The sequence below is a fragment of the Homo sapiens genome, chromosome 8 (genome assembly GCF_000001405.40).
Source record: "Homo sapiens chromosome 8, GRCh38.p14 Primary Assembly".
NCBI classification, from domain to species: Eukaryota; Metazoa; Chordata; class Mammalia; order Primates; family Hominidae; genus Homo; species Homo sapiens.
In genome coordinates this window covers 142,129,965-142,143,407 of record NC_000008.11, presented here as the reverse complement: position 1 = coordinate 142,143,407, position 13,443 = coordinate 142,129,965, and the positions used below count along the sequence as shown (strand labels likewise).

Genomic DNA, 13,443 nt, shown 5'->3' with positions numbered 1-13,443 from the left:
GAGGGGGCTCACTGCTTTGGGCTGTGTTTTGAGGATGGAAGGAAACAGTGTCACTAGCACAATAAAGATCATCAATGTCACCTTGACTGCCTTCATGCCTACAATCAACTCTGGGAGCGTCACTCTCATTGCTGTCACCACCGCTGCGATGGTTAGCTCCCCCACTGTCGCCATGGTTACCACGTCATCACCATAGTTACCACCATCCCACAACTGCTGTCACCACCATCACCATGGTTACCATCACCTCATCACTCTGGTTACCATCACCCCATCATCATGGTTACCATCTTATCACCATGGTTACCTTCACCCCACCACTGCTGTCACCACCATCACTGTGGTTACCACTACCCCTTCACCACGGTTACCTCTTACCTCTTCACCACGGCTACCAACACCACCATCACCATGGTTACCACTACCCCTTCACCATGGTCAGCTCTTCACCATGGCTACCAGCACCACCATCACCATGGTTACCATCACTTTGGTTACCTCTTCATCACCATTGTTACCATCACTCCACTACTGCTGTCACCGCCATCACCATGGTTACCACCACCCACTGCTGCTCTCACCACACCCCCCCTTGGTTCCCACCACCACAGTTACAGTAGCCATCCCCACCCCTGGGTGGGGTCATGTCCAACTGGTGCTCAAGACCTACTCTCCCCAACCCTGGGTCTTGGAAGGTGGCCTTCCCGGCATGTGTCAGTGAGCTAATTCCTTGGTGGATTCTGCCCATAGGAGGCACCTACAGGAGATGAGGGTGAAAGGAAAGTGGGGGTGGGTATTTGCCCCCAGTTCCCTCTCTGACACGCTCAGCTGTGTCCCTCTGTGGAGGCCACAGCTCCCATCAGAAAGCCCTCTCTATGCGGCCACCATCTCTAGGCTTCGGTAGGCTCTCCCAGCCCCAGCCCCTCAGCAGGTGTCTCCCAGCTGCTGCTAGCCTCAGGACACTTCAGCATCTCTTACTGAGCCTCCCTACCCAGCCCTACCGCTGTAAATAGTCTCCCATGGAAACTCTCTGCGATGACCCCGAGAACCTGGATGGGGCACCTGATGTCACCAGTGAGACATTCCCTTCACCAGGTGTCCCTGTCACCCAAGCAAGCCCATCAGAGTCTCCTGTGGGACTTTCTGCTGGAGACTTGAGGGGAGGCTGTCTCTCCCACCGGGGCTCCCAGTTGAAGGAGGTGAGTGGCCGGCAGCCACTCCACACTCCGCAGGAGGACACGTGTGTAACATAACACATGAGAGACAAGGCACGGTGACCACTGCACTCTGGATCCAGCTGTGCCCCAGCAGCCAATGGCAGGGCGAGACATGGCCTCTTGCTGTCTGCAAGTCTGCTTTTTCCTGACTGGGGCAGTCATTGCTTAAGGAAGAAGCGAGAACTGGCAGGATGGATGCCAGAAAGGGCCTGCTTTCTCTCCCATGGCTTTATAGGGGTCCTGCTGCTCGGGCAGAGAGTCTTGGAAGGTGGATGCTCAACTTGTGATTTACCAAAGAAAGCTGCCCATGAGCTATAGGAGGGTGAGCAAGGTGGCATCTTCTCGCTGGGTAAGAGGGTGAGCAAGGTGGCATCTTCTCTCGGGGTAAGAGGGTGAGCAAGGTGGCATCTTCTCACTGGGTAAGAGGGTGAGCAAGGTGGCATCTTCTTGCTGGGTAAGAGGGTGAGCAAGGTGTCGTCTTCTCGCTGGGTAAGAGGGTGAGCAACGTGGCATCTTCTCACTGGGTAAGAGGGTGAGCAAGGTGGCATCTTCTCACTGGGTAAGAGGGTGAGCAAGGTGGCGTCTTCTCTCTGGGTAAGAGGATGAGCAAGGTGGCGTCTTCTCGCTGGGTAAGAGGGTGAGCAAAGTGGCGTCTTCTCTCTGGGTAAGAGGGTGAGCAAGGTGGCGTCTTCTTGCTGGGTAAGAGGGTGAGCAAGATGGCGTCTTCTCACTGGGTAAGAGGGTGAGCAAGGTGGCGTCTTCTCTCTGGGCAAGAGGGTGAGCAAGGTGGCGTCTTCTCTGGGTAAGAGGATGAACAGGGTGGCATCTTCTCACTGGGTAAGAGGGTGAGCAAGGTGGCATCTTCTCGCTGGGGTCCCATCCATGGGGGCCAGGGAGCAGGCTGCAAGGCTCCAGCGTGGGAGTCTGGGGTGTCTCTGGGTTTGTCACCTGTTACCCGCTTCGTTAAAGTCTGATCAGGAGGCTCTGGCCCACGTTCTGCTGCACTCTCCAGATTCATGGACAAGGTCTTGTCTCCTCACCTGGGCCAGAGGGAAGAAAGTCCACATCGAGGAGGAGGCCAGAGCAAGGAGGAAGAGGAAGCAGGAGGGAGAAGGTCGCTTCAGGGAGCAGAAGACTTCCCCCCACCCCACTGTCATCAGCATCTTCTGAGTACTGAAGAAGGACCTGTGTCTCCAAGGCGAGCCCTGGGTACACCAAGGAGGAGCCGTTAGGAAGCAACATGACAGCCAAGACAAGCCAGTCAAAGCAAGGGACGGAGGCTAAAGTTTAGGAAAAAATAAACAGCATGGGAGCAAACCCCAAGAAATAAGAGAATCAGTTAAGGAAGCCCAACTTTCAAGTTCCTGAAAGAAGGTAGGAAATAGGGAGAAGGAAATTATGAAAGAAATCACATGAGAACTTCCCAGAATAGGACACAGAGAGAAAAGGCCTTCAGGGTGCCCCCAAAAGAGTGGGGAAAGACCAAGCCACAGCCCAGAGTGAACCCAGAACTAAAGACATACCTCCTCCTTTTTCTGGAAGTTGCTCCCTGGAGGAGCTGCCTGTCTTTTGCTCAGAGCTTCCCTTCTCCTCCCTTCTTCAGAGATGAATCCCCTGTTTTCTGGAGTACATGTGTTCCTCTGCTGTTGTTTACTCCCTTGTTTTGCTGAAGCACATCCTGTAGGAGCTTCCTGAGAAAGCCTGCATGGAATGCAGTGTCTGAGAGCCAGCATGACCCAAGTGTCTCCATTCAGCTCACGTGTGTTTGACAGCTTGGTTGGTCCTGTATCCAAGTGAAAGCTCCTTTCCCTCTGAATTTGTAAGACATCATTTTCTAGCATCCAGAGTTTCCATTCCTAGTCCAGGAATCCTTTTTCTTGTGATGTGTTTTTCTATCTCTTGAAGTTTCTGGGATTTCTTTACCTGTGGGTCCACTCTGGGCTGTGGTTTGATCTTTTTTTCTGCAAGTCCTTTCTATCTGGAGACCATTCCCCACTGGGAAATTCTCTAGCTCTAGGGCTGCAGGGCTGGGATCTGAACCCTGGGACAAGCGCCAGCCTGTGTCCCCTGCCCTCCCGAATAACCATCTCTGTCCATGAATCTGTCTAAGAAGAGAGCCTCCAGGAATGAAGGGTGGTAGGTCACGCTCCCACCAGTGCTCCCTAGCAGTTATGGTCTCTATCTCCTGCACAGGATAAAACAACGTTCACAAGGCCAGGAACCACATCATCTCCCTGTTGGTTAGGAATCACGTTTAAGAATGTTTCGTCTTGTATCATCTCTGTTGATCTGGGTGGCGGGGGTTCCTTCGTCTCCATCTCTGAGGCAGGTAGGGTGGGGTGGGGAGTGGAGACTGAGGAGGGCGGCTTGCTGTGACCATCAGCTCATTAGCTGATTATTACCTTGAGACTGCGAAGCTATTTCTTGGTTTGTGCCCATTTTACACTGAGGAAACTGAGGCAAGGAGATGCTCACCCTGTAAGCAACAGAGCTGGGTTCTGCTCTGAAACTTCCTTGGACCCTTACAGTGATGGGGACCTCACTGCCTCCGCCGTGTCCCTGTCTCTCTCTCCTAACCTGTCCTCTGTGTCCCCAAAGATCCAAATTGCCTCCTTTTCCAGGTGACGGGGCTCAGATCTTCCTGTCTGCCTTGGTGAGCGGGGCCCAGGCTGCCTCTGCATTTCCCACTCCACGTCCCGGAGGCGAGGTTTTCCCTCTTGAAGATTCCTTAAGGAGCCCACTTAATATGAGTCCCTGCACCCAGCAACCACAGCGCCTCGGCTTGTTTCACTCTGTCCCGCATAATGCATAAACATTTTAAATTTTCTCCTTGGCTATGCATGAGCGTGTCCTAGAGAAGCAAAGAATAAACATGATTGGGACTATGCTGCCACTGAACACTGCTCCAGAGAATTTGAAATCACTGTCACGTCCGGCAGCTGTCTCTTCTCCTGTACGACCCTGAACATGGCCCTGTGTGCATGGACTAGTCTTCAGGGGCCATCCCTGGCCTGGTTTCCAGCCCCCGAGGGAGGTGCTGAGGGGCCCAGGTGTCCTCCCATCAGGCAGTTCCCGGTTCCACCCCTCCTCCTGGTATCTTTGCTGTCTCCCTGTGAATTTGATTTCCTGCATGAAGGGCAAAAAGATCCCAGCTGGGAGTTCTCAGCAGGGTGTTAAACTTTTTCAGGGTGTGTCCAGCATGCAGATTGGCTGGGTGGCCATGGCCCGTTTTGTGTCAGATACCAGACACGTGCACCCGCACACACACCCGTCTCCCTCTGTGTGGACGGGCACGTGCCCCTTCCTGACTATTCACTCATTCAGATCCCTCCTCCTGTGTCCTAGGGGGCCCTTCCATCCTCCTTTCCAGGTTCTGCCCCAGACCCAACCCATGCAGGGCAGGCAAGCCCCCGAATTGAGGCTGAGCCCGGGAGGGTTCTTGGTCTCACCCAGGAAAGAATCTAAGAGCAAGCTGGTGGTGTTAGACAGCAAAGAATCCAAGGGCAAGCTGGTGGTGTTGGGCAGCAATGAATCCAAGAGCAAGCTGGTGGTGTTGGGCAGCACCTTTGATTGAAGTGTCATGTGCCGCCGCAGCAGAGGGACTGCTCCTTGCAGAGCAGGGCTACCACATAGGCCCTGGGCCCAGAGAAGCAGCTCAGAGGCGCTTCTGCAGTCATGGTTATACCTATGCCCAAATTAATGCAAATTAAGGGGCGGTATGCAGAAATTTCTAGAATGAGGATGGTAACTTCTAGGTTGTTGGGTCATCGCCACGGAGAGGGGTGGTAGCCTCTGGGTGTTGCCATGGCAGCGGTAAACTGACATGGCACACTGGTGGGCATGTCTTACGGGGAGGTGCCTCTGCTCCGAAGCTGTTTTAACCATTCCTTGGTTTGGTCCAGCATCCCAGCCCTGCCTCTGCAGTCCACTTCTGCCTCCTACCTCAAATCCAGTCGCAATTTCTAGGGGAAGGCTAGTCTGCGTTCCTTCTAAAAGCTCCCAGGTGGTTCTCCGGGGCAGGGGTGGGAAGCCCTCACACAAGTGAGCTTAGGAACCAAAGCTCAGTCGGTATGGGGACCTGCAGCTTCACAGCCCTGAAGCCAAGTGACCTCAGTCAGAGGCAAGCAGAGCCTCGGGGTCCAGAGCATCTGATCTCGCCCCGAGTGCCACCTCCTGTAGCTGGGCACCAAACTCAGCCCTCCAGTTCCGGATCAGAATGTTCATTTCCGAAAGCATCCAGGGTCAGACGTAAGCAGCAGCAGCAGTAGGGAGCCCTGCCAGCCATGCCCTCTCCACCCCAGGCGTCCTCCTGTGCCCCTGTGGTCTGGCAGTAGCAGCCATGCAGACTCCACCTTGGACCATTTATCCGCCACCCCTTTGCTGCACTGGGCTCCCAGGGTCAGACAGAGAGGGTAGCTGAGGACTGTCAGCCTGGGCTGCCAGCGAGGGCTGGGAAGGTCAAGGGCAGGGAGGGGACAGGACCGGGTGCTATGCAGGTGTTGGGGGACACGCAGCCAGCCTGCCTCTGAAGCCCAGCACTGCATCCCTCCCAGCTGCCACCCCTGTGGGACCTGCAGTGGGTTGAAGGGTGTCCCCCTAAAAGGCATGTGATATGATATGCCTGTGTCCTCACCCAAATCTCATCTTATAGTTCCCATAATTCCCATGTGTCGTGGGAGGGACTGGGTGGGAGGTAATTGAATCATGGGGGCAGTTACCTCCATGCTGCTGTTCTCCTGATGGAGAGTGAGTTCTCACGAGATCTGATGGTTTTCTAAGGGGCTTTCCCCCTTCGTTGGGCACTTCTGCTTCCTGCCGCCCCGTGAAGGAGGACGTGTTTGCTTCCCCTTCCACCATGATTGTAAGTTTCCTGAGGCCTCCCCAGCCATGCAGAACTGTGAGACAATTAAACCTCTTTCCTTTGTAAATTACCCAGTCTCGGGTATGTCTTTATTAGCAGCGTGAGAATGGACTCATACAGCATGTCTACCCGAACCTCAGAACGTGAAGTTATTTGGAATAAGGGCTTTTGCAGATGTTATAAGGTGAGGATCTCAACATGAGATCTTCCTGGTGACCCAGCGATGGGGGTTCTGTGAGACAGAAAAGGAGACTCAGAGCAAAGGCGGCCGTGTGAAGGCAGAGGCTGGGGTTGGGCTGGCTCAGCGGCAGCCAGGGCATCCTTCAAGCATGGCCGGAAGCACAGGAAGGAGGCCGGGAGCAGATTTTCTCCCACAGCCTCTGGGAGGTGCCAGCCCTGCAGACACCTTGATCTTGACTTCCAGCCTCCACACAGTGGGACAGTCTGGGTCAGCCGTTTGGGTCCCAGGCAGGGGTCCTTCGTGATGAGGGCCTCCTGCCCACCCGCCTTATGTTCTCCAGGGAGGTCCTGGCCCTGGTGCTGTGTCCCCCTCTGCTGCTGGAGCCCGGAGCAGTCTCCCCAGCCCTCTGAGTCCTGGGTCCTGGAGTCATAAGTGGGCCCTGAAGTTCCCTCTGGGGGCTCTGTGTGTTACCCGGCCACTTCATGAAGACTGAAACCTTGGGGACTGGGGCCATCCGGGGCTTTGGGGGATACAGACAGCAACACAGCCCGTGGCGAGCTTCGCCTTGGAGGTTGGGGATAGGTGAGGGGCTGTCCCCGGACTGGTGGAACAAAGCCTCGGGGTGAAGGCACCCACAGAGGATGGGGTCCTTGGGTTGAGCCCTTCTGAATTTTGGAAGGACACTGACTGGTGGGAGAGTGAGCAAAGTGCATTCAGGAAGCGAGTCCTGGTGATGTATCCACTCACGTGTTCAGTTATTCACACAGTCAATCAGTCCTTTCACGGTGAGCAAATCGTCGTGGCCCTGGCGAGATGCGACGAGTGCTTCCCTGCTCTTCAAGTGGGAGATGCGGAAGCGGCGCTGGGAAGAGAGCACGGCCTGGCTTCGGAGCTTAGGTTCCGGAGGAGCGGCTGGGTGGATGGAGTGCTGAGGACAGTCGGGCAAGGCCACAGGTGGAAAGCGCCAGCGGGGCGGGGCCCTCCTCAGATGGGTAGCGAGCGGGACACGGCTTTCTGCGGAGGGCACCTGGGCTGAGCGCTGAGTGACAGGAAGTGAGCCGTGCAGAGGTCTGGGGAGAAGGGCTCCAGGAAGCCAGGGCAGCACATGCCAAGGCCCTGGGGCAGGAGGCCCTTGTGTTCATTCAGGACAAGGAGGGAACAGGGCCTAGGTGTGAAAACATCTGTGACGTGGGGGCTGTGGCTGGCCAAGTCCCGGGCCTGGGACCTCGTCATTGACATACAGTCCAGGGCGGGTAGTGCTCACGGGGCCATGGGAGGGCAAGGCAGAGGTGGCCGTGTCCCGTACCGGGGTGGTGCTGGACCAAGCCCAGGATCTGCCATGGGCGCCAAAGGCCTCTCTGGCCAGGCAGCAAGGGCGTCTCAGGGAGGGGCAGGAGGGCCGGCACCCCAGGCCTGAGTGGGAGTGGGGCTCTGGTCAGCGGGCCAGCCCCAGAGGGCCCCAGGTGAAGGCTGCTGTAGGTTTGGGGAGTACAGCAGTGCTGCTGGGACAGCAAAGGGGAGAAGAGGCCACAGGAGGGCCAGGACCCAGGGGAAGCAGGTTCTGATGACCGAGAGGAGGCACTGTCCTTCAGGAGGTCGGGCCACGGGAGGCCGGCCAGCCCTGTGCAGGGGTGGGGGCTGCCCAGTAGCCTTGTCTTTCTCTCCTCTCTCTGTCTCTTTCTCTCTGTCTCTCTCTTGCAGCCTTTGCGCATGGGCTGTTGCTTCTCCCTGATGTCAGGAAGGTGCCGTCCCTTTCCTCCAGGGCTTCCAGTGCCCCTGAGGTCGCCTTGCTGAGAGCGCCCAGGGTTCATGGGTGTGTGCGTGTAATGTGTGCATGTGTGTGTGTGTGTGTGTGTGTCTGCTGCTGGAGTGTGTGTGTGTGGTGTGTGCGTGTCTGTGTCTACTGCTAGAGTGTGTGTGTGTGGTGTGTGCGTGTCTGTGTCTGCTGCTACTTTGGAAGAGTCCACAGTCTGTGCTGCCTGCACAGTTCAAGCTCTAATTATCAGATATGGTTAATTACACAGAGCTGTCATCCATTTGTTTTTAAGGATCCAGAAACCTGGAGCCTTGGCCATGCTGAGCCCTGATCTGCTATCTGCATTGAAAGCGCTTGGGGACCTGTGATTTCTGGCTCACTTTGGCCAGAAAGGGTTAATTCTGGTGAATGCACAAGCTCTTGCCTAGTCATTCTGGGGCCTCCCAGCAGAGCCCGCTACATGGGGCCTCCTCCAGCTCCTCAGAGGCCCGGCCTCGGGGTTCCTGCGCTGGCTGTTCCCTCTGTGGAACGCTCTTCCCTCAGTGTTAAGGGTGAGACCCCAGCTGCCTGGTTGTGGAGTCGGGGCTTCAGATGGAAATCGAGCCCCAGAGCTGGGAGGAGGGGGAATGCCCCATCTAGGAACAGCCACACCTGGAGGTCCCCAATTCTAATAATGATAAATAACTTCTGTGATGTCACCCACAAATGGATGATGACAGATCGGAACTAAAGGTTTATTTTCCTGCTAAAGAGAGACACTGTCACCAAAGCAAGACGTCACAGGTGGCTGAACTGACATGGGAAAGCTGCAGTCCCTTGGGGTTAGAGAATTCCAGGTCCACGGCTCAGACCGGTTCTGTGCAGAGCCAAATGGCCCGTGCACGCGGGTCCTGGTGGCCTTGGGTCTCTTAGCCTGCACCACGGCTCTGACACAGCAGGTGAGCAGAGGGGGCACCCAGGGTGAGAAAGCTTAGAATACTCGCGGCTGGAAGCCACGCCCCACGCCATCCCGCCTTCAGATATGTCCAGTCTGACCACTTCCTCCCAGGCCTCTGTCCCCCCAGGCTGAGTCCCCAGCATACCTCTCCTGGACTGTGGCAGCAGCTTCTGTCTGGGCTCCTTGGCCATCACCTGTCCCCAGCAGCCAGCGTGCTCCAGCCAAGCATCAGGCCAGGGCTCTCCTGCTCCACCCTTGCCATGAGGGCCACCTTCCCTGGCTCCCTGGCTCACAGCCCCTTCCCATGACCCCGAACTTGGCCCCCACTGTTGACCCCTGGGTCCCTCCATATGGGCCTTAACCATACGGAGTCTACTCAGCCATGGCCCCTGCATTTTCTTCCCCAGCTCACGTGGCCAGTGCCTTCTCCACCTCCAATCCTCAAATGTACCCCAGCCCTCCCCAGCCCCCCAGCCCTCCCCAGCCCCCCAGCCCTCTGGGCAGCTCCCTGGCTGTTTTTTCCACACCAGGTGTCCCCTCTGACATATGAGGTGATTTCCCCACATGCTGTGTGTCCTGCACCATCTGACCCTCTGTGGGATGTCACCTGTTTTGGTCTGAGTGTCTGGAAGAGCGCCGTGTGCTACAGAAGTCCACATGTGTGGTCCAGAACAGAGCACCGCCACCTGCAAAGGGTAGACGTTTCCCGTTTCTAGAGAGGGAGGTCTGGAGTGAGTCTCTGAGGCCCCTGCAGGGACTGTTCTAAGTAGGTAGCTGCCAAAGCCACTCCCCTGCTCAAGAACCTTCTATGGCTCCCCTGGACTCACAGAATAAGGCCAGAGCTTTCTTCCCGGCTCAAGGCCCTTCCCGAGCCTTCAAAGGAACTGCTTAGGCTTGCCAAGCCTCAGCTCTCTCATCCATAAAATGGGGACCAACACCACCCACTATTTACTGCCCTGGCCCCACCTGAGCCCCGGCTCTCCAGCTGTCCCCACCCCCACCCGGGGTGCTCCTCAGACTGTCCTGCCGGACTGGCTGTGCCCTCCAAGCTGCAGCCGCAGACATTTCTGCAAACTCCATTCACTTCTCTGGCGTCTCCTGTATCCGTCTGTCTTTTCTGAGCCTCAGCTGGAGCGCTGTCTTTCAGAGGATGCTGCCTGGTTCTCCGGCCATCTGTGGGGCAGCTCTCTCCGCAGCTCTGCACCACGCCTGGGCCCCTCAGCCATTCTGTGCTAAGCCCGACCTCGGGGCACCACACGGGAACCCAGAGGAGCCAGGGTGATGCAGGGTCTGTCCTGACTCCAGGAGCCGAGAGTCCCGTGGATTCGGTCAGGCTGACATTCCTCACGGCTGCGTGCAGCGTGTCCTGGGAGCTTCACAGACATGAACTCACCGAATCCACACCTTGAGCCTCAGGCTGCCAGGCCTGGTGGACGCTGCCAGTCCGCATTTCACAGATGACAGAGCTGAGGCCCGGGGAGACGAAGCAATTCCTTGGAGCGGTGGCTTTCGCTTCCCCAGCCGGGCAGTGCCCTGCCCCCTACTCAACCTGCCTGTCACCAAGCCTCTGCCCAGCATCAGGCACTGCCCCAGGCACTCGGGACTCATCCATGTGGGAAACAGGCAGGAAGCTCTGTCTTCATGCAGCGGACGGTTAAGCCTGCGCTTCCTATCTCTAGAGCCACCATGCCATTGATTGGCCAAATTGGGGTAGTCTGAGACTGAAAGTGTTGCTAGTAATACTTATGCAGGGAACAGATGCTGGTCAGAGCTGCTGCCCTCCTGATCTCCCAAGTAGCTGGGAAGCTCCCGGGGCCAGACTGCAGCTGGCCCTCTCGGTCCCTGTCCCAGTGCTAAAGCCAGCATCAGGCTGTCTCTGCACGTCCCTGGCTGCTTACAGGTGGCCTGGTTCCATCAAACACGGAGCTTTGCAAGGGCTGCTGCGGCCTCAAAGCCCAGTTGCCACAGTTGATCCATTCGCTGTCCCAGCTGCTCCGTGGAGAGAGAGTTACCCTCCAACATGAACTGACTTATGCGATATGTCAACACGCCACCTTGGAGAATAAAGCAACTCCTGCAACGCCACTCTAATTACTCTTCTCAGATGAGGTAATGATTGCTAATGTGGGCTGGATCTCATTAATTAACTCTCTGCCTTTAATTAACTTCTTGCCTATTTCACCTGACATAATATATTATCACAAATGTCAACTTTGCAGAATGTTTCCCTCTTGCAACAAAATAAGACGCGTCACATAAACGTTGCATCTTTGACACCGTACCGGACAGAAGTCTTTGGTAGGAGGTGGACGGGCCACTAGTGCAACACGAAAATGTCTAGATAGAATGTGGAGTTTTCCAAACATCCACTAAGAATTCATAATTGTAATCAAATTTGTTCCTAATCACACTACTGTGACTTTTTTCTATCCTTCAAACACACTGCTAGCAATAAACATAACACCTGAAAACAGCAGTGTGATTTCCTGAAAGAAGAAAAACAATGGGATTCCATCTCCACAGCATGGCCTCCGGAGAGCTGCTGGGCACAGGAGGGAAGGTGGGGGCCGGCCCGGGGGGTTTCCTCTTCTCTTTAGCTTGTTTGGACGACAGCACCCTGTGGCTAGTGGCTTCTGGAGTCTCCAGCCCCAGCTGCCGACACCAACCTCAGCACAGCCCAGGAGATCTGTCCACTCCAGGGTGGAGGGAGGCTCATCACCGTGGTGGCTGCTGGGGACACCCAGAGGTCCCAGCCACTGCCACTACCCCTGCTATGGCCAGCACATCCCTGGGCCCCGTTCTCTCTGCTCTCCTGACCCGGCTCACCCCTGGCTCCCCTGTCACTGCCGGGATTCCTCATCCCTGTCTATCCCTTTCGGCTGCTCAGCCGATGCCCCAGTTACTTGGGAGTGGGCTGAGGTTGTTTTCCCTGACAGCGAGGCCTGGGGCTTCCGCCTCTGCATATCTCAGGACCTAATGAGGCCTGGAGCACCTTTAGGCCCCGGAAAAATATGGGACTGTGGGCCAAGAGCCACGCCCTGTCGTGTCAGGCTTGTCGGCTATGTGGATGCTTCAGCCCGGTGGACTGACAGCCACAGAGCGAGCCGTGGAGGGTCCCCACAATGAATGTAACCTTTTGGGGGTTGGGGCGGCAAATTCAACAAGTCCCTGTCCCTTGCGGCTGGAGCACAGGTAATCAGTTTGGCTGAGTAGCAGCACTGGACTTAATTTCATACCTCAGTGGGCATCAGAGGAGACACAGGGCTGTCACAGAAGCCTTTGTTTAGCTGAGCCCAGCGCTGCTCCCTTACATGATCTCTGCGGGGGAGCTTCTGAGTGTTCCCACATTGACGTGTCCCCTGACTCTTCTCTCTGCACTGCCTACGTGTGTGTGCACACATCACAAACACATACATCTCACACATAAGCACACACAGTACATATGCAGACATGCAGACACACACGCACACATGCACACACAGCACATACACTCCCACACATGCATCCACACGTGCACACGCCTGGCAGGACCTTCACACCTTGGAAATGTGCGAGGACAGGGCCCTGTGAGGAGTCCTGCGGGAGGTGCAGGGCTGCCGGAGCCGGGACAGCTGACCGGCTGCATACATTTGGCCAAAAAGTCCCTTTTCTGGACCTTAGCTTCCTTGTTCTTTATTTGTTTTGCGTCCATTTCTCGAAAACTAAAAGCTTCCCATGTGCAAGAGCGTGTGGGGCCTGGTGAGACCCCCAGTCTACAGGGCTGTGGGGAGCATCAAGTCCACAGCTGGTGGGCAAGCCGCTGCTCCCTCTGTCCTCTCCATGGGCACGTCAGGGCATGACCATGGCTCCCTCTTAGCCCTGGGATGGGACTGCAGGGCTGGGCCGGGAGGATGGCTCGGCCAGAGCCCGGGAGATGAGGAAGAGGGGCCCACATTCCACTGCTGGAGACCTGGGGGGGCACTGGTGGCAGGCGCAGACCTCAGCGTGCTGCTGGCTGCAGGGACTCTTGTGGGGGATGGCAGAGTGCTCCCTGGAAGCTGTGGGGGGTGGCAGAGTGCTCCCTGGAAGCTGTAGGGTGGTGGCAGAGTGCTCCCTGGAAGCTGGGGGGGTGGCAGAGTGCTCCCTGGAAGCTGGGGGTGGGGGTGGCAGAGTGCTCCCTGGAAGCTGTGGGGCAGAGTTCAAGTCTCAGCTCCCCCCCACAAAGGAGAAGCTTTGGTTCAGAGGTGCCTTGGTTCAGAGAAAAACGTGTTCTTGGAGCCAAGTGGATGTGCATCTGGCCCTTGCCTGTGTCCTTACCACGGCTGGGTGGCGTCTGGTCTGCAGCCTGTCGCTCCCTCCCTGCGTCTGGACCGCACTTCACACTCTGCCCATGCTTCCTGCCGGAGGAGGCAGAGCGCTTTTTCCTGAGTCATTGACACTGGGCTCAGCCTGTGAGTGGCTTTGACCCACAGGCTGTCAGGCATGACGGGGTCTGTCCCTCGGCCTGGTTGT

The 13,443-nt window shown here is 56.5% G+C and overlaps 4 annotated features.

Moving 5' to 3' along the window:
- Positions 9,855-10,416: an enhancer, noted in NCBI's record as "H3K4me1 hESC enhancer chr8:143214353-143214914 (GRCh37/hg19 assembly coordinates)". NCBI's record gives its function as "activates a minimal SCP1, AML or CMV promoter by ChIP-STARR-seq in primed H9 embryonic stem cells {active_cell/tissue: H9 hESC(primed)}" and the evidence as "EXISTENCE:reporter gene assay evidence [ECO:0000049][PMID:30033119]".
- Positions 11,787-12,303: an enhancer, noted in NCBI's record as "H3K27ac-H3K4me1 hESC enhancer chr8:143212466-143212982 (GRCh37/hg19 assembly coordinates)". NCBI's record gives its function as "activates a minimal SCP1, AML or CMV promoter by ChIP-STARR-seq in primed H9 embryonic stem cells {active_cell/tissue: H9 hESC(primed)}" and the evidence as "EXISTENCE:reporter gene assay evidence [ECO:0000049][PMID:30033119]".
- Positions 12,304-12,820: an enhancer, noted in NCBI's record as "H3K27ac hESC enhancer chr8:143211949-143212465 (GRCh37/hg19 assembly coordinates)". NCBI's record gives its function as "activates a minimal SCP1, AML or CMV promoter by ChIP-STARR-seq in primed H9 embryonic stem cells {active_cell/tissue: H9 hESC(primed)}" and the evidence as "EXISTENCE:reporter gene assay evidence [ECO:0000049][PMID:30033119]".
- Positions 12,821-13,338: an enhancer, noted in NCBI's record as "H3K27ac-H3K4me1 hESC enhancer chr8:143211431-143211948 (GRCh37/hg19 assembly coordinates)". NCBI's record gives its function as "activates a minimal SCP1, AML or CMV promoter by ChIP-STARR-seq in primed H9 embryonic stem cells {active_cell/tissue: H9 hESC(primed)}" and the evidence as "EXISTENCE:reporter gene assay evidence [ECO:0000049][PMID:30033119]".